The following is a 26,964-nucleotide window of genomic DNA, read 5'->3' on the forward strand; positions in this document are numbered from 1 at the left end:
TTGAATGTTTCTAGCATAAAGAAAAGGCAAATATTTAAGGCAACGGATATCACAGTTACCCTGATTTGATCTCTACAAATTATATGAATGTATTAAATCATGTACCCCAAAAATATGTACATCCATTATGTATCAATTTTTTAAAAAGGAAAAAACAAACAAACTGAGATTACATAGAAGAATGCAGTTTCACCTCCAGCAGAGGTTCAGAATTAGTTGAATCCTCGGGCTGCAGGAGACAGGAATCTAGCTGAGGACCCTGCAATTAGAGCCAGGATTCAAAATACCCAGGAGCTAGCAGGAGGGCAGCAGTACCTGGAAGTGAGGTTTCACTCTGGAGAGACTCTACTTGCTATGGATCCCAGCTTCCCACCTCCACAGCAAACAGACAAATGCTGCTCAGAGGTCCATTCGGTCACCATGAGCAGGTTAGGGGTGAGGGCAATGCTGAGATGGGCTAAAGGTCAAGGAACTCAAGATGGCCTGTTGTGGGGAGGAGCGATCCTCTAGGGTGGCCCAGATTTAGGTGCTGTCATTTCTTGACAACCTTTTTTGGTTGGCCCTAAGTAGAAATGTCATCCTGGATAATAGTAAATAGTACTACCTTCCATCTATATGTCCAGGTGCTGGACTAGTCTTGGTTGTTGAAAGGATTTTTGTACTTTTTCCCATCCTCAAGTTTTTGAGACAAGATGACTCTTACTCATAGTATTCAAAATACTACAAAAAGGAAAGAGGACTTTTTGTTAAATTGTGTCTGACAAAATAGTCAGTAACAGGATATTAAGATGTCCTAGAATTGGGGAAATGAGGTCAGGAAAAGTTTATCCTTTTTTAAAAAATTATTATTATTATTATTTTTTTTTTTTTTTTTGAGACAGAGTCTCACTCTGTTGCCCAGGCTGGAGTGCAGTGGCCAGATCTCTGCTCACTCCAACCTCCATCTCCTGGGTTAAAGCGATTCTCCTGCCTCAGCCTCTGAAGTAGTTGGGATTACAGGCACGTGTCACCGCTCCCAGCTAATTTTTTGTGTTTAGTAGAGACGGGGTTTCACCATGTTGGCCAGGCTGGTCTCAAACTCCTGACTTCAAGTGATCTGCCTGCCTCGGCCTCCAAAAGTGCTGGGATTACTGGCATGAGCCACCACACCTGGTCAGGAGGAGGTTATTTTTTGAGATCCCCAGATCATTTACTCAGCTGTTTGTTGAGCCAGGTACCACACTAGTTGCTGAAGGTGATTACATGTGAATGGAAAATGGCCTCTGCCCCCATATTCTTTAGTAGGAGGGCTAGGCATGAAACAGTCTGCCAAATAATAATAATGATTATTATAAACTGTAAACTAAAATAGTGATCACACAACTTAATGGTTTAAATGATCAGCTGCAAGAAATTCTACGAGATGGAGTGCAAATTTGTTATAGAACTATAGAAGACCCAGTCCAATCCAGAGACAGGGGTGCTTTTAATCTCATCAAGAGGTTGTTGAATGAATCAGTTCTGGAAAAAATGAAACACAACAACAACAAAAAGTTACCAGAAATAGAGTTTGTTTTCTTGGGAAAAAAGGGAGCAAACGAACTAGATTTGTGAGTGACACAATGCCCTATAGAGAGAGTGCCTGGACCAGCCTCTCCAAAGATTTCAGCTGGCTGAGTAATATCTCTGGGTAAAGAAACTATTTTCATTTGGGATTTACTCTCCCCATGAATTATTTATTTATTTATTTATTTATTTTGGAGACAGAGTCTCGCTCTGTTGCCTAGGCTGGAGTGCAATGGTGTGATCTCACCTCACTACAGCCTCCGCCTCCCGGGTTCAAGCGATTCTCCTGCCTCAGCCTCTTGAGTAGCTGGGAGTAGAGGTGTGCACCACCAAGCCTGGCTAATTTTTGTAATTTTAGTAGAGATGGGGTTTCACCATGCTGGCCAGGCTAGTCTTGAATGCCTGGACTCAAGCAATCTGCCCACCTCGGCCTCCCAAAATGCTGGGATTATAGGCATGAGCCACTGCGCCGGGCCTCTCCCCAAAAAATTGAATTAATGAAAGTCAGTTCCCTCTGTGATTGAAAAGAAACTGCTAAAATTAAAATTTTAAAGCCCATTTGGTCATGATTTTTTTTCTATATATTACTGGATTTGTTTGGCTATTTAGTAGTTGTTCCTATTAAGGATTTTGGCATCTATTCACAAGGAATATTGGTGTGTACTTTTCTTTTCTTGCAATGCCTTTACTGTATCAGGTTAATAGGTCTCATAAAATTAAGTGAAAAGCATTTACACCTCTATTTTCTGAAAGAGTTTGTGTAGGATTGTTATCTTTTTTAAAACTTAAACATTTATTAATATTTACCAATTAAGCCATCAAGGCATTAAGTTTTCTTTGTAAAATGATTCTTCATTACAAACTCAATTTTATTAACAGATACGAAGCTATTTGGTTGTTTGTTTGTTTGTTTTTTGTTTTGAGACAGGGTCTTACTTGGTTGCCCAGGCTGAAGTGCAGTGGTGCGATCTTGGCTCACTGCAACCTCCGCCTCCCATGTTCAAGTGATCCTCCCACTTCAGCCTCCCTAGTAGCTGGGACTACAGGTGCATGCCACCACACCCAGCTAATTTTTTTTTTTTTTTGAGACAGAGTCTTGCTCTGTCGCCCAGGCTGGATGGAGTGCAGTGGTGCGATCTTGGCTCACTGCAAGCTCTGCCTCCTGGGTTCACGCCATTCTCCGGCCTCAGCCTCTCCAGTAGCTGGGACTACAGGTGCTCGCCACCACGCCTGGCTAATTTTTTGTATTTTTAGTAGAGACGGGGTTTCACCGTGTTAGCCAGGATGGTCTCGGTCTCCTGACCTTGTGATCCGCCCACCTCGGCCTCCCAAAGTGCTGGGATTACAGGTGTGAGCCACCGCGCCCGGCCCACATCCAGCTGATTTTTGTATTTTTAGTAGAGACGGGGTTTCACCATGTTGGCCAGGCTGGTGCTATTTCGGTTTTCTATTTGGGAATTTTATCTTTTAGGGGAGTTGACCATTTCATCTAAGTTGTCCATGGACATATATTGACATAAAGTTGTTCATAATATTCTCTTGTTATCTTTTATCTATCTGTAGGATCTGAAGTGATGTATTTGTATTTTCTCCTTTTTTCTTGATCAGTTAAGCTAAAAATTTATCAGTTTTATTTTTCATAGAACTAATGGTCAGTATTTATAACATAATAATGGAGACTGAGTAATTTATAAAGAACAGAAATGTATTTCTTACAGTTCTGGAGGCTGGGAAGTTCAAGATCAAGGGACCAACATCTGCTAAAGGCCTTCTTGCTGTACTGTGACATGGCCGAAGGTATCACACGGCAAGAGAAAGTAAGAGGGCCGAACAAACACAATTTATAACAAATTTACTCTCCAGATAATGAGCCCACTCATTAATCCATTCATGAAGGCAGGGCCCTCATGACCTAATCACTTCTTAAAGGTCCCACCTCTCAACATTGTTGCATTGAGGGGTTTAAGTTGCCAACACATGAACTTTGGGGAACACATTCAAACCATAGTGGTTGGTTTCATTGACTTTCTCTCTTTTTCTCTTTTCCCATTTTCTATTTGATTGATTTCCATTGCTTTATTATTTTCTTCCTCACTATATATATTTATTTATTTATTCCTTTTTTTTTTTTTTTTTTTTTTGAGATGGAGTCTCTCCCTGTTGCCACACTGGAGTGCAGTGGGGCGATCTCGGCTCACTGCAATCTCCACCTCCCGGATTCAAGCGATTCTCCTGCCTCAGCCTCCTGAATAGCTGAGATTACAGGTGCGCACCACAACGCCCAGCTAATTTTTGTATTTTTAGTAGAGACAGGGTTTCACCATGTTGGCCAGGATGGTCTCGATCTCCTGACCTCATGATCTGCCCGCCTCAGCCTCCCAAAGTGCTGAGATTACAGGTGTGAACCACCATGCCTGGCCTCACTATATATTTAATTTGCTTTGCTTTTCCAAGACGAATAATTTTTATTCAGTTTAAAATATTTTCTGATTTTGCCTGTGATTTTTTTTTTCTTGAAGCCTTTTGGATAGTTCTTTCTCACTCGATCTCACTCTGTCTCATGTACCAACTTTTTTCTCCTGTAAATTTTTCATTCAACAAATAATTGTTGATCATCTACCACAAGGTGCTAGGTACTGTTCTAGGTACTTGAGTGACGTGAGTGAATAAAATAATATCCCTGCCCACATGGATCATATGTGCTACTGGTGGTTACAATTTTTTCGTTTGGTCTATATTTATCCCTAACCAAGGGTTCTCTTCCATTTGAAGTCTTGACATACTCCTTTCTTCCTGTATCTCCACTATGACTTCTAGTACTTATTTGCAACTATAAAATACCCTAACAACTGATACAGATCTCCTGTCTAGTGTATCTCCTGAATTTATAGTCATCTTTTTAAGAGAGATGGTATTTATTGGGAGATGTGTTCTCCTCTGTCATATTTATGCCTTGTTTGGCTTGAAGTCAGAAAGACTAATTTTCATAAGCATCTTTCTAGCTTTAGCTAGCTTTAGCATCACTAAGATTTCCTGACATTATCAATAAAAAAAAAATTACTGAGGCTATCTGTTAGGCTGATATTATGGTGATTTAAATTTTTATCTTTTGTACTTTTACTGTTTGAAAAATGAATAAAGGAAGAAAATTGATTTATTCTATCCATTTTCTAATTTTAAAAGCATTTAAATTAGGGTTATTACTACTTGTGTGTTTATTAAATGTGCACCTAACATTTTGAACGTAATTGACAACTTTTCCTGGTTATTTGTGGAGTGATCCTAGTTTTTAAAGTAATGCATTTAAAAACTCAAAAATAAAAAATGAAATAAAAATAACCTGATAATGGCTTAATGTCAGAATATATAAAGAACTCCTACAACTCAACAGTAAAAAAAACTTATTAAAAAATGGGCAAAGGTCTGAATAGATATTTCTCCAAAGAAGATATACAACTGGCCAATGAGCACATGAAAAGATGCTCACTATCATTAATCATTTAGGAAATGCAAATCAAAACTATAAGGAGACACTACTTCATACCTATTAGGATGGCTGTTATTTTAAAAAACCCAGAAAATAACAAATGTTGGCAAGCATGTGGAGAAACTGGAACTCCTGCGCATTGCTGGTGGAAGTGTAAAATGGTGCCGCCTCTGTTGAAAATGGCATGGTGATTCCACGAAAAATTTAATGCAGAATTACCATATGATCCAGCAACTTCACTTCTGAGCATATGCCCAGTCACATGGAAAGCAGAGATATGAAGAGATGTGTGTTCACCCAATTTTATAGCAGCATTATTCACACAGCCAAAAAGTAGAAGCAACCCAAATGTCCATCAACAGATGAATAGATAAACAAAATGTAGTCTATACATACAATGGAATATAATTCAGCCAGCCTTAAAAAGGAAGAAAGTCCTGACACATGCTACAAGATGATGAACTTTGAAGACATTATGCTAAATGAAAATATACCACAAAAAGACAAATACTGTATGATTCCAGCTATATGAGGTACCTTGAGTATTCAAATTCCTAGAGAGAAAAAAATAGAATATTAGTTGCCCAGGGCTGCGGCAAGGGAGGGATGGGGAATTAGTATTTAATGGGTACTGAATTTCATTTGGGGACAATGAAAATGTTTTGGAGATAGATGGTAAGGATGGTTGCAGGAGAGTGTGAATGTACTTAATGCCACAGAAGTGTACACTTAAAAATGGTTTAAATTGGCCGAGCGTGGTGGCTCACACCTGTGATGCCAGCTGTCAGGGAGGCAGAGGTGGGAGGATAGCTGGAGCCCAGAGTTCAAGACCTGCCTGGGCAATATAGCGAGACCCTGTTCTCCACAAAAAGGACAAAAAAAAAAAAAAAAAGACAAAAAGACGGGCACAGTGGCTCACGTCTGTAATCCCAGCACTTTGAGAGGCCGAGGTAGGTGGATCATGAGGTCAGGAGTTCAAGACCAGCCTGGCCAATATAGTGAAACCCTATCCCTACTAAAAATACAAAAATTAGCCGGGTGTGGTGGCATGCACCTGTAGTCCCAGCTACTCAGGAGGCTGAGGCAGGAGAATCACTTGAACCCAGGAGGTGGAGGTTGCAGTGAGCTGAGACGGTGCCATTGCACTCCAGCCTGGGTGACAGAGCAAGACTCTGTCTCAAAAAAAAAAATGGTTTAAATGGTTAATTTTTAATTATGTATATTTTTACCACAATAAAAAGTATGAGAATGAGTACCTCAGCCTTGCTATAGGTACTATGCAGAGTTAATTTAAGAAACAAAGAAGCAAGAATATTTCAATGCTGGATAGTACCATTTTTCTTCTTAAATTAAATTTTAAAATGACTGCCTTGCTATGGAGTTGTCATGCTTGTGGCTGGAGATTGAAACCTTAAAATTATGGTAAAATTCAACTCCAAGTTCCTGCAGCCACATCAATTTTCTATCTAATTTTGGAAGTATTTAAATTAGTCTTATTATTATTTGTGTGCTTACTAAATGTGCAATTTAAAATGTATATGGTTGTGCAATGTGGTGAACACTGCCATGGGAACTTCATTAATAGAATCACTGATGCTATACTATTATTAGTACTGAATTAATACATCTTTATCAGACATTTCATTCAATAGCTCCTTTTTTCCTTTCTTTAATCCCTATACTTTACCTTCTTCATTCTTCAGTTGGATCATCCTATTACTAGTACTTTATGTTAAATTCATGTTATTTCACTGAATCTTCACACCAATCCAAGTATTATTGGAAAGTATTATTATTTCTGTTTTAATCGATGAGGAAACTCAGTCTCACAGAAGTTGCATAGCTTGCTTGATAACACACAGTAAGTCAGGGGTGAAGTAGAAATTTAATTTCAGGGCAGTATGTCTCAGGAGTCTTCTCAACTCCACCAGCACGAGATGGCTTCTACTGGTGATCATTATCTTCCTGAAATCTCAATTCTCCCATGATGGGGGAAGAGAAGACACAAAATACACATCACTGAAGAACTGGCCTGAGCCACGGGAAGAAGAGAAATGGTGCACACACAGCTTCATGTGAATCTGGAATCTTTCTTAAAAATCTTCTTTCTCTGCCGGGCACGGTGGCTCATACCTGTAATCCTAGCATTTTGGGAGGCCGAGGTGGGTGGATTACCTGAGGTCAGGAGTTTGAGCAGCCTGGCTAACACGGCGAAACCCCGTCTCTACTAAAAATACAAAAATTAGCCAGGTATGGTGGCGCACATCTTTCATCCCAGCTACTCGGGAGACTGAGGAAGGAGAATCGCTTGAACCTGGGAGGTGGAGATTGCAGTGAGCTGAGATCGTGCCACTGCACTCCAGCCTGCGCGACGGGAGAGAGACTCCATCTCAAAACAAATAAACAAATAAACAAAACTTCTTTCTCTATTTACCTACTTTTTGCTTTTGTTTTCACTTGGGAATATTTTCTATTGTCCCTTGTTTCTGGGTTTGCATCATGTCCTGAACAGTACAGTAGTTTATTTCAATTAATGCTTTCTTGTTCGTTGTACAAACATAGCTTCACTTTGAGCCTTTGGATAGGATGAACCTTCTGCTCTTTCATCAACTCACGACAGAGTTCTGCTTTCCTCAGGAGCTCCCCACTCTCCTCCACACACTGCTGCCCAGGGCCGGAGCCAAGTATTCATGCTAATTCCCAGAGTACAATCCAAATTCTTTCCTTTTTTTTTTTTTGAGACGGAGTCTCGTTCTGTCGCCCAAGCTGGAGTGCAGTGGCATGATCTAAGCTCACTGCAACCTCTGTCTCCCAGGTTCAAGAGATTCTCCTGCCTGAGCCTCCTGAGTAGTTGGGACTACAGGCGTGAGCCATGCCCCCGAAAATTTTTGTATTTTTTGGTAGAGACGGGCTTTCACTGTGTTGGCTAGGCTGGTCTCAAACTCCTGGCCTCAAGTGATCTACCCGCCTTGGCCTCTCAGAGTGCTGGAATTACAGGCGTGAGGCACCAAGCCTGGCCCAGATTCTTTCTGATCATATAAGTTGACTTTGCAACCAGCACTTTTACATTATTCTACTCCTACCTGATTTCCTGTTTTACGTCATGCTCCATGGTGGCACAAGCCCTTCTCAGGACCAAGGACCTGACATAGAAGGAAATAGGGAGTAACTTGCCTCCTTCAGATCCACATTGATAGTTCATGTAGCAGGAAAAGAGGGACCCAGCCTTCTTATCCTAGAGTTTTCAGGTACTCGCAAGAGAGATGCTGGCTTATGAAGAGTCTTCAAAGAGCCCACAATATAGTCTGGCAATGGGTAGTAGATAGCAGCTTGATCTTTTGTCATCCTTATTCATTCAGAAAACTTTTACTGGCTACCTATTGGGTACCTCTCTTCTATGTGGAGCTTCAGTCCAATGGGACAGAGTTATGAAAAATAACAATATGTTATGGGATGGGCATTTAATCCAATCTGGGGGTAGGAATGGAGTGGGGGAAGGTAATGCTTGGGTTGGGTTGAGGCTTGATGGCCAAGTAAAACCAATCAGATGAAGAAGGGGCTAAAGGTGTTCTAGAAAGAGAAGATAGCACCCACAAAGATTCTGAGTTTGCATCATGTCCTGAAGTGTGCAGTTTATTTCAATTAATACTTTCTTTTTGTTTGTTTGTTTTTTTGAGACGCAGTCTCACTCTGTTACCCAGGCTGGAGTGCAGTGGCACGATCTTGGCTCACTGCAGCCTTTGCCTCCCGGATTCAAGTGATTCTCATGCCTCAGCCTCCCAAGTAGCTGGGATTACAGGCACACACCACCACGCCTGGCTAATTTTCATATTTTTAGTTGAGATGGGGTTTTACCATGTTGACCAAGCGGGTCTCAAACTCCTGACCTCAGGTGATCTGCCTGCCTTGGCCTCCCAAAGAGCTAAACCACTGTGCCCGGCTTATGCTTTCTTGTTCTTTGTAGAAACATAGCTTCACTTAAAAAAAAAACAAACAAACAAACAAAAAAACAAAAAAAAAACATGAAAAGAGAGAGCTTGTGCAGGAAAAGTCCTCTTTTTATTTTTTGTTTTTTTGAGACAGTCTCACTCTGTCTCCTGGGCTGGAGTGCAGTGGTGCAATCTGGGCTCTCTATAACCTCCGCCTCCCAGGTTCAAGCAATTCTCTCACCTCAGCCTCCCGAGTAGCTGGGATTACAGGCGTGCACCACCATGCCTGGTGGAGATGGAATTTCGCCACGTTGGCCAGGCTGGTCTCGAACTCCTGACCTGACCTCAGGTGATCCACTTGCCTTGGCCTCCCAAAGTGCTGGGATTACAGGCGTAAACCACTGTGCCTGGCCTGCGCTTTCTTGTTCTTTGTACAAACATAGCTTCACTTTGAGCCTTCTAATAGGATGGAAGGTGAATTGGAAATAGGTGAGACTGGAGGCAGAAGGGCCAGTTAGGAGGCTGTTGGGATGATCCGGCCTATGGAAGGAAGCTCTTACACAGGACCCATTTGCTGCATTGTGCTGTGGGTCCCTACTCTACCAGATACTGCCGGTATCACAAGGTCAGTGAATCTGCAACTACAGCCTACAGCTGGCCACTGACTGGGGGTCAAAACATGGACCAGTCGTGTTTGGGTCCTCCACTGGGCCCATATGGAAAATTACAGAGCTTGAAACTCATCTAAATTTCTAAGTCTTGTCCAGAGGAGTTGTTGTAGCTCTGTAAATACCAAACCTTGAACTTTGTCACTTTTTCACTGGTCTATTTCCCTTCTCCCTATCCCATACACTTTGATGACTATGTAAAGTCTTATCATCTGTCCATTCAAATGCGACTTACTTCATATAATTTCCCATAATTTTCATTTCCCTGAATCCAAATAAGAATTAGCTGTCCTTATTTTAAGATCTCAAAGAACTTTGTGCATAGGTTGAAACTCAATTCACCAAGGGTAATGAGGAAAGTTACCAATAATGGATCAATTAGACTGGGGCACAATTATTTAATTGCTGAATGCTGCCATGTCTGCAGTACACTCTAACAACTTAGTTAAGCTAGTCCTGAGTAATTAATTATACCTCCATTTATACCTATTTGGCCTTAGAAATCATTTATTTTTATTTAACAAACACTCATGTAAGCACTACATGTCAGACATATTTTAAGGACTTTACAAATAAGTTTCTTAACAACCCTATGATATAGGTACTGATATTGCCACCCTATTTAGACAGGAAAAAACCAAGGTACTCAGGAGGGTTTCATAGCTAATAAGTAACTGAAACACAATTTGAATTCAGGAAGCCTTGCTCTAAGTCCTGTGCACTTCATCACAATTGTATGTGGTCTCTCCCAGTAGGCAGTGGAAGCACCAAGCTCTGCAAATTATTTTTCTGAATTGTAACTGCAAGCCAGAGATGTGGTAGGAGCATGGAATATAAATATAAAAACACACAGCTGTTGCTTTCTAGGAGTATATCAGTTATTTCTTGGGCATAACAAATCACAAAACGGTGACTTAAAACAATAGCCATTTACTTGCTCACAATTCTACAATCTGGTCTGGACTCACACATTTACAGTCAGTTGGTGGATCAACTAGTACTGAGGATCCAAAATAGCCTCACTAATGTTCAACATTTCAGCTAGGGTCTGGAATGGCTAAGGGTTGGCTAGGCCTCTCTCCTCATGGTCTTTCGTCCTCAAAAAGACAAGCTCGAGTTTCCTTACATGGGCAAAAGAGCAAAAAGGAAGTAACAAGGTCTCTTAAATCCTGGGCTTGGAAGTGCCCAACATCACTTCCTCTGCATTCTCCTGGTCCAAGCAAGTCAGAAGGCCAACCCAGATTCAATGTGGCAGATGATTACACAATGGCTTCAATTCAGGGACCTGTGATTCACTGAGGGCCTTTTAATAACAATCTACCACAAGAAGCTAACAGTTTTAGTGAGGAGACAATTGTCATAGCACATTGGGACGTAATAAAGATGGGAAAAAGTGCAATAGGTCTGCAGGCAAAGAAACACCCGAATTTGATGGGGCAGGGGATCAAGGACAGCATCATGAAGGCAGCATTAACACAGGCCCTGAGACTTGGAGAGCAGATCATGTTTGGAGGTTAACTTGGTGGGTGGTCACAGGTGAATAAGGAAGGGAAGGAAGGGCAGTCCAGGAGGACAGAATAGCAGGTGCAAAGACATTGATACATGGCAAAAGAAAGCATGTTGTATTTGGGGATAACAAATAGTTCAGAATGATTAGAGTAAAGGGCTCTTGAGGAAGAGTGTGGAAGGCTGAAGAACGAGGCTGAACCATATCAGGAAGTGTCATGAGTGCCTTGCTAAGAAGATTTTAAATGATACTCTTAGTAATAACTCTTAGTAATAGAAGATCATTGAGAAATTTTGATCAGAACAACCACATCATGTGTTTTTTTTTTTTTTTTTTTTTTTTTTTTTGAGACAGAATCTCACTCTGTCACCCAGGCTGGAGTGCAGTGGTGCGGTCTCGGCTCACTGCTATCTCCGCCTCCCTGGTTGACACCATTCTCCTGCCTCAGCCTCCTGAGTAGCTGGGACTACAGGTGCCCTCTACCATACCTGGCTAATTTTTTGTATTTTTAGTAGAGATGGGGTTTCACCGTGTTAGCCAGGATGGTCTCAATCTCCTGACCTCGTGATCTGCCCGCCTCGGCCTCCCAAAGTGCTGGGATTACAGGTGTGAGGCACTGCGCCTGGCCATATTTTTTTTTCCTTTTTTTTGAGACAGAGTTTCACTCTTCTTGCCCAGGGTGGAGTGCAATGGCGTGATCTTGGCTCACCGCAACCTCTGCCTCCCGGGTTCAAGCAATTCTCCTGCCTCAGCCTCCTGAGTAGCTGGCATTATAGGCATGTGCCACCACGCCCAGCTAATTTTGTATTTTTAGTAGAGACGGGGTTTCTCCATGTTGGTCAGGCTGGTCTCGAACTCCTGACCTCAGGTGATCTGCCTGTCTTGGCCTCCCAAAGTGCTAGGATTACAGGCGTGAGCCACCGTGTCCGGTCATGTTTTTTTGTATTTAAAAATCACTTTCAGGCTGGGCACAGTGACTCATGCCTGTAATTTCAGTGTTTTGGGAAGCCGAGGTTAAGAGTTCGAGACCAGCCTGGCTAACATGGCAAACCCCCGCCCCCCGCCATGTACTAAAAATACAAAAATTAGCCGGGTGTGGTGAAATGCCCCTGTAATCCCAGCTACTCAGGAGGCTGAGGCACAAGAATCGCTTGAACCCGGGAGGTGGAGGCTGCAGTGAGCCAAGATTGCACCACTGCACTCCAGCGACAGAGTGAAACTGTGTCTTGAAATAAATTAATAAAATAAAATAAAAAATAAAAATCACCTTAGGAGTCCATGAAAGGAAGATCAGATGGAAATAAGAAAGACAAATGAGAAGGCTATTGCAAAATACCAAGTTTAAGAAGATGAGACTTGAACAATGGCATAGAAAGCAGAGAAGAGGAAAAGGGTTCCAGAAATATTTGTGAGGTAGAATGAACAGGATTTGACAATTGAAGGAAGAATACAGAAAGAATCCCAGGTTTCCGATTTTGGCAACTGGGTGGGGATACAGGTGGCAGAGTTTTAGGGGAAAAGTGATCATTTACGTTTCAGACATGTTGGTTTTGAAACGCCTGTGTGGCAATCAATACAGATATGAAGTAGAGAGTTGGTTCTACAAATATGAAGCTCAAGAGAGAGGACTGGACTAGAGATACAAACACAGAATTCATCAGCAAGCAGGTGGTAGTAAGAAACCATAAGATGTCCCACAGAAAGCATGTAGAATGAAAAGGACAGAAACTAGAGATGACTATAGGGGAAGAGCTAGATTTAGTGGGTAGAAGAGGAAGAGAAGTCCACGTAAAACACTAAAAAAGAACTGGAAAGAGGAGGAAAACCAGTATCATTGGTGCCCCAGTAGCCACAGGATAATATAATTTTGTTTCTTTCTTTTTCTTTTCTTTTTCTTTTTTTTTTTTTGAGGCAGAGTTTTTACTCTGTTACCCAGGCTGGAGTGCAATGGTGCGATCTCGGCTCACTGCAACCTCTGCCTCTGGGGTTCAAGCGATTCTCCTGCCTTAGTCTCCCAAGTAGCTGGGATTACAGGAGTCCTGTCACCACGCCCAGCTAATTTTGTATTTTTAGTAGAGACAAGGTTTCACCATGTTGGCCAGGCTGGTCTCGAACTCTTGACCTCAGGTGATTCTCCCACCTCAGCGTCCCATAGTGCTAGGATTACCGGCGTGCGCCACTGCACCCGGCCTATAACTATCATAATTCAGAAAAGTGCCCATGGAATTTGATGACTGATAACTGGTAAACATACCAAGCGCAGTTTTAGAGGGGCTTATGATGGCAATATCCCAATTGCTACGAATTGAAGAAGCCTGTGAGAGAATGCTTGTAAAGTGTAATGACAGGTGAAGAGGAGTTGCTGGAATTTAAAGAGTTACTTTATAGAAAGCAAAGTTATCTACTGAGAGGGAAGCGTGTGGGCTTAAAAAGTGCATGTGGAGAGGGAAAGGCTTGTAATAGCTGTGCTGAGAGAGAAATCTTTGAATGCCGCTTCCTGTCAAGTTCCTGCTCAGTATTCTTCTCAGTTTCATGATAAACTTCTTGAAAAATTCCTTTGCGTTTACTTTCTCTCTTCCCCACTTCACTCCTTAAAACCACTTTAATCGTAGTTTGGCATTTGTCTCTATATATCAATGACTTTTAGAAAAAATCACCAGTGATTTTTGTGTTTCAAACCTAATGTACATTGTGTCACTTGATATTATTTGTTCAAAAGAATAAATGTTCTGTTCTGGATATTCTTTTTTTTTTTAAATGGAGTCTCACTCACTCTGTTGCCTAGGCTGGAGTGCAGTGGTATGATCTCAGCTCACTGCAACCTCCACCTCCCGGGTTCAAGGGATTCTCCTGCCTCAGCCTTCCGAACAGCTGGGGTTACAGGTGCGTGCCGCCATGCCTGGCTAATTTTTGTATTTTTAGTAGAGACGGGGTTTCACCTTCCTGGCCAGGCTGGTCTCAAACACTTGACCTTAAGTGATCGCCTGCCTTGGCCTCCCAAAGTGCTGGGATTACAGGCATAAGCCACTGCGCCCTGCCAGTTCTGGATATTCTTAACATACTCTATGCTTTTGTCTAAATTATTTGATTCTGATTTCCAACAGTGAAATGGGAATGATGGAGAGTTAATACAATGAGATTGTAAGGCACATGGAGCGTCTCTGACATAAATAGTTATAATCATATCATTTTCCCAATAGAATGGTTTGCAGGGATTAAATGAGATAATGGCTATAAAATTTTTCTTAATACATAGCTGTAAATAGCAATGATTATTTACATTTTAGTTTGAAAATCAGCAAACTAAAATTTAACAGCTGAAGAAAGAGTTCAGCTACTTTGGGTGCTCAGGTAGAAAAATACTTGGTGATTATGAAACGATATGTCTGGAATCTGTTTCAAACTAATCGGGGGCGGGGGGTGGGGAGGGGAGGGTGTTGGGGTGGTAAGGGTGGGTTGGGGCTGCCGTGGTGGGAAATTGGCCACGTTATTGATGCTGAGTGTTTGCTATTCTAATTTTGTATCCGTTTGAAAATTTTATAATTAAAAATTATGATTTGTTTCGCTCTACGCAACTATGTTGACAGAATATATTTGGTAAACTGAAATGTCACGGAAACTTAGTTTGTAACCGGTCAGTGGCTTTTTGAGGTGTAGACACTTCATACCTTACTTCACTCCCCACTGTAAGGAAGATTTAACTTGAAGCGGAGATAATGATTTGAATTTACGGCTTTTATAATGTCATAAATGGGCGTCATTTTAATAACTACTCTCAGAATATCTTTTTCTATTCCACTTTACTTTTTCCTCTCCACTTAACCAACTCATCATTAGAAACTACAAGTCCCAGGATGCACTACACGATGAACGTCGGATCGAGGACCTCGTGTCTCTGAAGTGGTTGCCCTCGCCTTATTTGAATGGGAATAATCCCAATGAAAATTGATGTTTGTGACCCAGAGCAGATTCTGGAGCCTTTTGTACGCCTGGGACGGCCCAGCGTGGAGGGGACAGTGTGGTGCCTTTTTGTTCAGGCTTCGCTCAGGTCAGCCTCACCCTTTCCCGGGGCCTCCATGCGGCAGAAGGGCTCTGTTAGTGCGCCTCTAAGATGGCGACGCCTTTGGCGGTAAATTCGGGTAAGTGTGGCCAGACAGAAAGACGATTGAGCTGAGCGATAACCAGGTCTTCATGGAGAGACGAGACCGTGAGGTTTCTCGGAGTCTAGGACCCCACTTATGTGCGGTGCCTGCTTTTCCCTAATTCTGGGCCTAGAGTCCCACCCCTCCCCAGTTTGAATGGCGCGCGTCGGTGCTGCGGCTCCAGCCCTCGAGTTGGGGTTTGAGATTCCAGGCAGTGAGGCTTGGGCCGCTGGACCCAGGTGTGTAATCTCTCACAGCCCAGGGCTGAGTCTGGTCCCCCTCACCCCCAAGTTTCACTGTGCGTCTGTGGTCCCGATTTCGCTGGAATACGCATCAGGTCTTCCACAGTGAAGCCAGAGGACCCGAGATATTTTCCAGCCATGAGCAGAGGCTGAAAGTAGGCGTCGGAGTTCCTTATAGGGTGGGAGATCTTGCAGGCAGCGAATACTCCCTATTATGAAGTCGGCCATCTGAAAGGTGGTCAGGAAGAGGGTGGCGGGGCTTCAGCAGACGTCTTCTAACCCTGCGGATGTGGTTAGGCCCTGGATGTTCTTGTACCTTTGGAGCTGTAGATTTTCGGGGTGGAATTGAATCTAGAAGGTAGTAAAGGAACTCTGGAAGATTTGGGGTGGATCCTCTTTCGGTGATTCTCAATTCGGGCCGTACCGCCCTCCAGTGGTGTTTGAATGAGTGAGTGCATTTTGATTGTCATATTTCCTGGGGTACACTGCTGTCGCATAGTAGGCGGGGCAAGGATGCAGAAAGTCCTTCATGGTCAGAGCAGTCCGGAAAAATAATTTGGTGCCTAGAATGTTAATGCCTCGATTGAGATGCTCTGAAGTTCGCGGGCAAGATTAAGAGTATATCTGTGTGGTAAATGCTTGTGAGAATCTCACTTAAAAGGACTCTTTTTTAAAGTATTGGTTCTATTTTCCACAGGACTGATATTCTTGAAAAGTTGTCTAAATCTGTTTTGTAAATCAAATCATTTCAGAAAAGCTATGATAAATTATAATGAAGGCTATGTTTACTGAACACATACTATATCCCAGCATTGCACTTATTATCGTGCTTATCTCATTCAGTTCCCGTTTATACACCTTTGGAGTAGTTACTGTTACATACTCCGTTTTACAGATTTGGAAATAGAGGCTTCAAATAGTTACGTAATGTCCCCAGAGTTAAACATCTAATGATCTAAGTCAGTCTTAGGTGCTTAAACTACTTAGTGCTACTGCTTAAGCACAACCTAATTCATTTTATGATATTAGACGTATATATTAGAAGGTTAGTAATGAAGTTACATGCTTAATATTGCGGTCCTTCCTTCCCAATTAGATATGCTTAACGTGTGGTTGTATATAATACATTTCTCTATTTTATTTTATTTTTTAATTTTTCTTTTTGAGATGGAGTCTTGCTCTGTCTCCCAGGCGGGAGTGCAGTGATGCGATCCGCGATCCTGGCTCGCTGCAACCTCTGCCTCCCAGGTTGAAGCAATTCTCCTGCCTCAGCCTCCTGAGTAGCTGGGATTACAGGCATGTGCCACCACGCTGGGCTAATTTTTGTATTTTTAGTAGAGGTGGGGTTTCTCCATGTTGGCTAGGCTGATCTCGAACTGCTGTCCTCAAGCGATCTTTCTGCCTCGGCCTCCCAAAGTGGTAGGTTTACAGGTGTGAGCCAGTACGCAAGGTATACACATTTATTTTCCTTTTTTTTTTTTTTCTTTTTTTGAGATGGAGTCTCATCCTGTCCACCCAGGCTGGAGTGCAGTGGCGTGATCTCGGCTCACTGCAGCCTCCACCTCCTGGGTTGGAGCAACTCTCCTGCCTCAGCCTCTGAAGTAACTGGGATTACAGGCGCCCGCCACCATGCTTGGCTAGCCTGGCTAATTTTTTTTTGAGATGGAGTCTCACTCTGTTGCCCGGGCTGGAGTGCAGTGGCACGATCTTGGCTCACTGCAACGTCCGCCTCCTGGGTTCAAGCGATTCCCCTGCCTCAGCCTCCCGAGGGGCTGGGATTACAGGCGCCCGCCACTACACCCAGCTAATTTTTTGTATTTGTAGTAGAGAAGGGGTTTCACCATATTGGCCAGGCTGGTCTCGAGCTCCTGACCCCGTGATTCACTCCCTTCAGCCTCCCAAAGTGCTGGGATTACAGGTGTGAGCCACTGCGCCTGGCCAATTTTTTTTGTATTTTTAGTAGAGACGGGGTTTCACCATGTTGGCCAGACTGGTCTCAAACTCCTGACCTCAGGTGATCCGCCTACCTCGGCATCCCAAAGTGCTGGGATTACAGGCGTGAGCCACTGTGCCTGGCCTATATACATTCCTTTAGTACATACTCGCCCTAAGCTATTATAATTATTAAACAAATCATTGGAGGGAAAAGGAGTTGCCAACAGCAGCAAAGAGTGTACATTGTATAATAAAGCCTTGTGTCAGGAGTGTTTAATTGGCAACATAGGAAACATTTTTAAAAGCCAAGAGTCAGGAGCTGGTTTTTTAAAAAACTAAACGTCTTAGGGAAGGAACTCTTTTTCCATCAAGGAATGAATGTTGGGTTGAGTGGGTAAAGGAAATGTGTCATATACATGCAATATGCATAATACATATACATGCATATACATAACATAACGTATACATGCATATATATAGTATCCTTATGCAGCCTTAAAAAGGAAGGAAATCCTGTCACATAAAACAACGTGGATGAAACTTGAGGACATACTAAGTGAAATAAGCCAGTCACAAGACACAAATACTACATGATTCCACTTATATGAGGTATCTGAAGTAGTCATACTCATAGAAACAGAAAGTAGAATGGTGGTTGCCAGGGGCTGGGAAAGGGGAAAGTGGGGAGTTGTTTAGGGGGCATAGAGTTTCTGTTTTGCAAGATGAAAAAAGCTGTGAAGATCTGTTGCACAATGTGAATACACTGAACACTGCTGAACTGTACACTTAAAATTTGTTGAGATTGCATTCTATGTTATGTGCTTCCTTTAAATTACAGTTTTAAAAAATCAAACATCTTGGAGTTGTAAGGAAAAAATACAGAGATTGTAGAGTTCTAAGACCTATGGTTGGCCAGGTGTGGTGGCTTATGCCTGTAATCCCAGCACTTTGGGAGGCTGAAGTGGGCAGATCACCTGAAGTCAGGAGTTCGAGACCAGCCTGGCCAACATGGTGAAACCCTGTCTCTACAAAAATACAAAAATTAGCCTGGCATGATGGCAGGTGTCTGTAATCCCAGCTACTCGGGAGGCTGAGGCAGGAGAATTGCTTGAACCCAGGAGGAGGAGGTTGCAGTGAGCCGAGATCATACCACTGCACTCCAGCCTAGGCAACAGAGCGAGACTCTGTCTTAAAAACAAACAAACAAAAAACAAACAAAAAAACCTATGCTTGTATTTCAGCTGTATAACTTAACTAGTCTTGTGACCTGTATCAACCTGGCTGAGTACACTCACAGACTTGTGAATAAGCAACTATTAACACTGCTTGGCAGTCCTTCTGTGATAGTCTGGTCACCTCGTCCATTCACAGCAGTGACTACTTCAGACCTTTCTACACTCTTCAAATCTTTAACCTGCAACTAACTAAACCCTCAGACTTCTAGTCACAGAGAAAATAGGAGCCAACATACATGAACTCCCTTTATTCACTCTCAAACCTACAAACCTAGGTGTGTCTGCATTCTTTTGAATCACTTTTCCTCTGTCTTCCTATCTAATGTAAATCCCACCCATTGTGTTCTTCACCTGTTACCCCTTTTTTTGTCTTGTATATTCACTTCTCTCTCTTGCTCTTCCCTTTCTCTCCACTGATGATCTCATGCGTCACTCCACTTACTGTCCTCTTCCTAGTCAAGCCTTTCAAAAGATTTGTTAGTATTCATGGACTCCATCTCCTTCCTTCCTTTGTTCCTTCCTTCCTTCCCTCCTTCCTTCCTTCCTTCCTTCCCTCCCTCCCTCACTCTGCCCAGGCTGGAGTGCAGTGGTGCAGTCTCGGCTCACTGCAGTCTCCACCTCCCAAGTTTAAATGATTCTCCTGCCTCAGCCTAGTAGCTGGGATTACAGGCCTGAACTGCTATGCCCAGCCTACTGACTCCCTTTTCATACCTCCTATTCCTTCACCCATTCTGGTCTCTTCCATCCTTGTAAACAGCTCTCAATAGGGTTAACTTCTGTTTCTTGTAGTTCAGAAAGTTCCTTTTTAAAAAATTATTTTTTATTTTGAGACAGGGGCTCATTCTGTCGCCCAGACTGGAGTGCGGTGGTGTGATCTCAGCTCACTACAACCTCTGCCTCCCAGGTTCAAGAGATTCTCCTGCCTTAGCCTCCCTAAGTAGCTGGGATTACAGGCGCCCACCACCACACCTGGCTAATTTTTGTAATTTTAGTAGAGATGGGGTTTCACCACGTTGGCCAGGGGTGCCTCGAATTTCTGACCTCAAACGATTCACCTGCCTCGGCCTCCCAAAGTGCTGGGGTTATAGGCATGAGCAGAAAGTCCCCATGTTTTAAATCTTCATTTGGCTTGATCTTTTAGAGTAAAGACCAAAATCCTTTTTTTTTTTTTTTTTTTTTGAGACAGAGTCTGGCTCTGTTGCCAGGCTGGAGTGCAGTGGCGCGATCTTGGCTCACTGAAACCTCTGCCTCCCAAGTTCAAGCGATTCTCTTGCCTCAGCCTCCTGAGTAGCTGGGACTACAGGCGTGCGCCACCACACCCAGCTAATTTTTGTATTTTTAGTAGAGCAGGGTTTCACCGTGTTGGCCAGGATGGTCTTGATCTCCTGACCTCGTATCTGCCCGCCTCGGTATCCCAAAGTGCTGGGATTACAGGCCTGAGCCACCACACTCGGTCATCAAAATTCTTTAACGTGGGCAAGTGAGCCCTGTGTGATGATCTTGCCAAACCCGTTTTCTGTACTGCAGCTCTCTTGGCCTTTTGAGTTCTTTGACATGCCGCATTCCCTCTTGCCATGGAAACCCACAGGTTGTCCTCTCCCTGGAATGCATGTCTTCACCTCCCACCTGTCAGTTAACTATCACTTTTGTTCTTCAGATTTCAGCCTAGTTATCACTTCCTCATGGATAATTCTTTCCTCTGGCTAGGTCAGAGTCCCCTATTATGTGATCTCTTGCCCTGGCTACCTCTCCTTCATATCCTTCATATCCTGACCACAGTTGGATTTTATTTTATTTTTATTTATTTTTTTATTTTTTGAGATGGAGTCTTACTCTGTAGCCCAGGCTGGAGTGCAGTGGCGTGATCTCGGCTCACTGCAGCCTCCGCCTCCTGGGTTCAAGCGATTCTCCTGCCTCAGCCTCCCTAGCAGCTGGGACTACAGGCGCATGCCATCACGCCTGGCTAATTTTTTGTATTTTTGGTAGAGACGGGGTTTCGCTGTGTTGGCCAGGACGGTCTTGATCTCCTGACCTCGTGATGTGGCCCGCCTTGGCCTCTCAAAGTGGTGGGATTACAGGCGTGAGCCACTGTGCCCGGCCAGATTTTACATTTATGTATGATTATGATTAATGTTTTTCCTCACTGCAGTATAATCTTACCAATACCTCACACATGGTGAATGAGTGAGTAAATGTGATTTGCTGGAGGTATCCCTAAACATTAAGGAAAATAAATGTATTTCTCAACTGACTAAACTACATGGTAAAAATACATATTTAGTAATTTTGAAAAATTTATAGTGTCCCTTCATTTGTAATCAGTAAAAAAGATATTTACTGTAATCCTAGCACTTTAGGAGGCTGAGGAGGGAGGATCACTTGAGGCCAGGAGTTCAAGGCAAGCCTGGGCAACATAGCAACATCCCAGTTCTACAAAAAATACAAAAATTAGCCAGGTCTGGTGGTGCGCGTGCGCCTGTAATCCTAGCTACTAGAGAAGCTGAGGCAGGAGGTTGCTTGAGCCCAGGAGTTTGAGGCTGTAATGAGCTGTGATTGCCTCACTGCACTCCAGCCTGGGTGACAGCAAGACCCTGTCACAAAAAACAAACAAAAAAAAGGTGTTTACTGAAATTGGTCAAACTCAAGACAGATTGAAGATAACTCTTTGTTGCGGCTACCTTTGGTGTTTTTTTTTTCTTTTTCTTCTTTGAGACGAGGTTTCACTCTGTTGCCCACGCTGGAGTGCAGTGGCTCAGTCATGGCATACTACAGCCTCTACCCTCTGAGACTCAGGTGATCCTCCCACTTCAGCCTCATGAGTAGCTGAGACTATAGGCACAAGCCACCATGCCCAGCTATTTTTTTTTTTTTTTTTTTGAGACGGAGTCTTGCCCTGTCACCCAGGCTGGAGTGCAATGGCATGATCTCAGGTGACTGCAACCTCTGCCTCCTGGGTTCAAGCAATTCTCCTGCCCCGGCCTCCCAAGTAACTGGGATTACAGGTGTTAGCCACCATGCCCAGCTAATTTTTTTGTGTGTGTTTAGTAGAGACAGGGTTTCACCATGTTGGCCATGCTGGTCTTGAACTCCTGACCTTGTGATCTGCCCACCTCGGCCTCCCAAAGTGCTGGATTACAGGCATGAGTCACCACGCCCGGCCTGTTTTTTTTTTAAATAGAGACAGGGTTTTGCCATGTGACCCAGGCTGGTCTTGAACTCCTGCACTTAAGCTCCTTGAACCTTGCTTGGGAGGCCTACCTCAGCCTCTCAAAGTGCTAGGATTACAGGTGCGAGCCACCTTGCCTGGCCCTTTGATGCTATGTTGATATTAATGACGAACTAAGTAGGCCAGTGAACCTGTTTTTTTATTGTTGAGTTTTTTTGTTTGTTTGTTTTTTGAGATGGAGTCTCACTCTGTCTTCCAGACTGGAGTGCAGTGGTGCGCTCTTGGCTCACTGCAACCTCTGCCTCCAGGTTCAAGCGATTCTCCCACCTCAGCCTCCTGAGTAGCTGGGATTACAGGTGCACGCCACCATGCCTGGCTACTTTTTAAAAATTTTTTGTAGAGACAGGGTTTTGACATTTTGGCCAGGCTGGTCTCGAACTCCTGACCTCAAGTGATCTGCCCGCCTTGGCCTCCCAAAGTACTGGCATTACAAGTGTGAGCCACTGCAGCCGGCCTATTGTAGAGTTTTGATCTTTAATTGGATGCCTACCATTATTGGGGGAAAAATTGGATTTTTCTCTACCATTCACTGAGCTTATTACACTAAATATGTATAGTACAAGGAAATTTATTGGTTTTTCAGAGGTCCTACTGTATATTAATATTTAAAATGAGGGAGAGAAAATTAACTTTTGTCAGCACTTTATCAGATTTCTGAAATGTCTGTGGTAAGGTATATTTCAGATTTGCATAGGAGTCATCATTAATACCTTCCCTTTATACCATGTGCCATTTGATGACCAATTCTGAGTCCTTTCTGTTACTAACAGACCTTTTCTTCCTCCTGTACTGCCCTCATCCTAGTTTAGGTTCCATTTTCTTATTTTTTTTTTTTTGAGATGGAGTTTCGCTATTGTTGCCCAGGCTGGAGTGCAATGGTGTGATCTCGGCTCACTGCAACCGCCACTCCCAGGGTTCAAGCTATTCTCCTGCCTCAGCCTCCCGAGTAGCTGGGATTACAGGCACCTGCCACCATGCCTGGCTAATTTTGTATTTTTAGTAGAGATGGGGTTTCTCTATGTTGATCAGGCTGGTCTCGAACTCCCGACCTAAGGTGATCTGCCCACCTTGGCCTCCCGGTTCCATTTTCTTATAAGTGGCTTACTTACCTCTTATCCTTGTTTCCTGACACTGCCTGTTCTAGTCCATCAACCACACTAGAACACCATTTTCCTACAATGCCAGTTTCATTTTGTCATCTGCTACTGGAAACTTTGCCATTTACTAATAGGAAAAATTCCATCATGGCCCTGGAATCCAAGGCTGAAACCTACTCTATCCTTTGCAGTTAGAGAGAGGGCCAAGAAAATGATCCTGAGGGAAGTCATCTAGTCACCAGGATCTAGGTCCTCATTTTGGCAGGCAGAGAAATCTGATTTTTTTCAGTGTATCCAGAGTTGATTAGGTCCCATTCATTGATTATTCTCTAATCAAATTCAGAAAAGACAGATACATAAACCAGTATGCCAGTTATTGCTCTTTTTTATTTTATTTGTTTATTTATTTGTTTTTTGAGACAGAGGCTTGCTGTGTTGCCCAGGCTGGATGGCAGTGGTGTGATCTCGGCTCACTGCAACCTCTGCCTCCCAGATTCAAGAGATTCTTGTGCCTCAACCCTCCTTGTAGTTGGATTTACAGGTGTGCATCATTGCACCTGGCTAATTTTTGTATTTCTAGTAGAGACGGAGTTTCATCATGTTGGCCAGACTGGTCTTGAACTCCTAGCCTTGGCCTCCCGAAGTGCTGGGGTTACACGGATGAGCCACCACCCCTGTCTGCCAGTTATTGCTCTTTAATGGGAAGTATGTCTGCATAGGTACTCATGTTGCCTTGTCAACACATCCTTCATGCTAGAAATTTATATGTCGAGCTATATTTTTAATCAGAAGATTGGAAAGTGTGGGACTAAAGCAGGAGAAGCAAAGCAGGGAATTGGATGATCTGTCTATGTAAGGAAGATCTAGACATGCAGATTCCTCACATCCCCACATCAAAGACCTGACGCTTTGCATCCTTCCCTAATCTTCAGATTAGTTTAGGCTCTTTCTTTCATGTACTCTCATAGCCCGTTGTACTTCATCATATCTTTTATTATACTGATATCTTTGGAATTATTTGTTTTTTCGTTTTGTTTTGTTTTTTGAGACGGAGTCTTGCTCTGTTGCCCAGGCTGAAGCGCAGTGGCGCAATCTCGGCTCACTGCAACCTCTGCCTCCCAGGTTCAAGCAATTCTTCTGCCTCAGCCTCCCGAGTAGCTGGGACTACAGGTGCGCACCACCATGCCTGGCTAATTTTTGTATTTTTAGTAGAGATGGGGTTTCACCATATTGGCCAGGTGGCTGGTCTCGAACTCCTGACCTCGTGATCGGCCCACCTCGGCTTCCCAAAGTGCTGAGATTACAGGTGTGAGCCACTGCACCCGGCCTGGAATTCTTTGTTTAATGTCTGTCAGTCTTATCAATTTGTAAGTTCCATGAGGCTTGGGATTCTGTCTGTCTTGCTCAGTCTATGTGTGTATATATATATATATATATATATATATATATATATATATATATATATATATATGTATATATGGTCCCTCAGTAAATATTTGATAGTGAATGAAAGTATGAATAAATAATCCATCTCCACTGGTTTAGTCCGTCCTCTCCCTGCACATCTCCCTTTAAAAAATTTTTTTTTCAGGCTGGGTGCAGTGGCTCATGCCTTTCATCCCAGCACTTGGGAAGGCCAAGGTGGGCAGGGTAGATTGCTTGAGTCCAGGAGTCTGAGACAAGCCTGGACAACATGGTGAAACCCTGTCTATACCAAAAAAAAAAAAAAAAAAAAAAGCAAACAAACAGAAATTAGGTGGGTGTGGTTGCATACCTGTAGTCCCAGCTATTCAGGAGGCTGAGGGGGGCAGTATCTCTTGACCCCAGGAAGTTGAGGCTACAGTGAGCTGAGATGGCACCACTGTACTCCAGCCTGGGTGACAAAGTGAGACCCTGTCTCAAAAAAAAAATGTTTTTAAATTACATTGCGTCATCTGACGTTGTTCATTGAGTTATAATGTATTTAATTACATTACAGTTATCTTTCATGTTGTTCTTATATCCTGGTAACTTTATTTGGATTTGGGTTTTCTCAACAGTTTACCCTGTTTACAGTCTTTAATGTTTAGGCTATAGTTAGTTCTAAGTTTCATCTGTTGAGTAATTGGTTTTGACCAGTTTTTCCTTCAGAGTCTAAACACATATGAGTACCTTATCTGCTTATTTCCAAACAGAAACCTTTGGCTTTAGAGTCATATTTTTTAAATGGTGAGTCTAAAATCAGTTTAGTAGGGGCCGGGCGCCGTGGCTCATGCCAGTAATCCCAGCACTTTGGGAGGCCGAGGTGGGCAGATTGCTTGAGGCCAGGAGTTCAAGACCAGCCTGGCCAAATGGTGAAGCCCCATCTCTAATAAAAATACAAAAATTAGACGGGCGTGGTGGCACGCCTGTAATCCCAGCTACTCAGGAAGCTGAGGCAGGAGAATCACTTGAACTCAGGAGGTGAAAGTTGCAGTGAGCGGAGATTGTGCCACTGCACTCCAGCCTGGGTGACAGAGTGAGTGAGACTGCATCTTAAAAACAATAAAGATAAAATCAATTTAGTGGGCCCCTCACCAAAAATGGGACAGAACACAAAATATCATAGGGCATTGAATATAATAAATGAATTAATTTTAGTTTTTTATTGTTGTTGTTGTTGAGACAGAGTCTCACTCTGTCACCCAGGCTGGAGTGCAGTGGCGTGATCTTGGCTCACTGCAACCTCCACCTCCCAGGTTCAAGCGATTCTGGTTCCTGGCCTCCCGAGTACCTGGGATTACAGGTGTGCGCCACCACTCCTGGCTAATATTTTTGTATTTTTAGTAGAGACAGGTTTTTACCATGTTGGCCAGGCTGGTCTCGAACTCCTAGCCTCAAGTGATCTGCCCGCCTCGGCCTTCCAAAGTGCTGGGATTATAGGTGAGAGCCAGCCTGAATTTTAGTATTTTATATAATACTTTTGTTCCAGTTTTGTATATACATGTGTACTGGGTTGAAATGTGAAATATTTCTTACTGTGGATTATAGTCAAAGTTTGAAAGCACTACTCCTACCTCTTTAATCTTGCTACTGCTCTGAATTCTCTTTCATGCTTTCACACCTGTCTCTGATCCTTTGCTCACACTTGTTCTTGGCTGATGTTTGTTGCCCAGATTTTCCTCATCCTTCAAATGCTGCACAAGTGCAGCCATTCCTTAGCCAACTCTGACCATCAGTTTGATCTTTTGAAATTATTTTATTGTTTGTGCCAACAATCATATTCCTTTACTGGAATATTTCACTTATGTACATTTTATCTCCCCAACTGGTGAGCTGTAAGACAAAGATTGTTTGTCTTATCTTCTTTGATACTTTACTGTTCATTTATGGAGTTTAAATTTTTTATTTTTTATTTTTTGAGATGGAGTCTCACTCTGTTGCCAGGCTGGAGTGCAATGGCACGATCTCGGCTCACTCCAACCTCCGCCTCCTGGGTTCAAGCAATTCTCCTGCCTCAGACTCCTGAGTAGCTGGGATTACAGGCGCGTGCCACCACGCTTGGCTAATTTTTTGTATATTTTAGTAGAGATGGGGTTTCACCATGTAGGCCAGGCTGGTCTCAAACTCCTGACCTCAGGTGATCCGCCCGCCTTGGCCTCCCAAAGTGCTGGGATTACAGGCGTGAGCCACCGTGCCCGGCCTTAGTACTATTTTTGAAATACCTAAATTCTTCCCAAACACTTTCACTTTTTAAGTATTATGTATTATAGTATAAATGTGTCATTTACTTTCCAGTAAATTATGGTGAAAGTACAATTTACTGGTTAGGGCACACTCTGATGCCCAGACTGCTTGGGCTTAAGTTCTGACATTATCTAGTGTGACCTCAGGTGGTGAATATTTTGACCTCTCTGCCTCAGTTTCCATATTTATAAAATGGAGGAAGCCATAGTGCTAACCTCATAGGGTGTTGTTAAGACATAATCATAC

At 43.0% G+C, this 26,964-nt stretch overlaps 1 protein-coding gene across 2 annotated transcripts in view, besides 4 other annotated features; it reads left to right on the forward strand.

Moving 5' to 3' along the window:
- Window positions 15,061–15,190: an enhancer, noted in NCBI's record as "active region_26718". NCBI's record gives its function as "activates an Ori minimal core promoter by ATAC-STARR-seq in GM12878 lymphoblastoid cells {active_cell/tissue: GM12878}" and the evidence as "EXISTENCE:reporter gene assay evidence [ECO:0000049][PMID:35858748]".
- The window catches only part of NUP205 (nucleoporin 205), a 90,837-nt gene continuing 79,092 nt past the window's right edge, over window positions 15,220–26,964 (forward strand). For both annotated transcript variants that reach the window (NM_001329434.2, NM_015135.3), the window contains exon 1: window positions 15,220–15,275. Coding sequence is in view for 1 of the 2 variants with exons in the window: in NM_015135.3 (NP_055950.2) it covers window positions 15,248–15,275 (28 nt within the window). In the remaining variant the exon portion in view is untranslated. The remainder of the gene's footprint in view (window positions 15,276–26,964) is intronic.
- Window positions 15,571–15,620: an enhancer, noted in NCBI's record as "active region_26719". NCBI's record gives its function as "activates an Ori minimal core promoter by ATAC-STARR-seq in GM12878 lymphoblastoid cells {active_cell/tissue: GM12878}" and the evidence as "EXISTENCE:reporter gene assay evidence [ECO:0000049][PMID:35858748]".
- Window positions 15,681–15,740: an enhancer, noted in NCBI's record as "active region_26720". NCBI's record gives its function as "activates an Ori minimal core promoter by ATAC-STARR-seq in GM12878 lymphoblastoid cells {active_cell/tissue: GM12878}" and the evidence as "EXISTENCE:reporter gene assay evidence [ECO:0000049][PMID:35858748]".
- Window positions 15,811–15,930: an enhancer, noted in NCBI's record as "active region_26721". NCBI's record gives its function as "activates an Ori minimal core promoter by ATAC-STARR-seq in GM12878 lymphoblastoid cells {active_cell/tissue: GM12878}" and the evidence as "EXISTENCE:reporter gene assay evidence [ECO:0000049][PMID:35858748]".

This window comes from Homo sapiens, chromosome 7 (genome assembly GCF_000001405.40).
Source record: "Homo sapiens chromosome 7, GRCh38.p14 Primary Assembly".
NCBI classification, from domain to species: domain Eukaryota; kingdom Metazoa; phylum Chordata; class Mammalia; order Primates; family Hominidae; genus Homo; species Homo sapiens.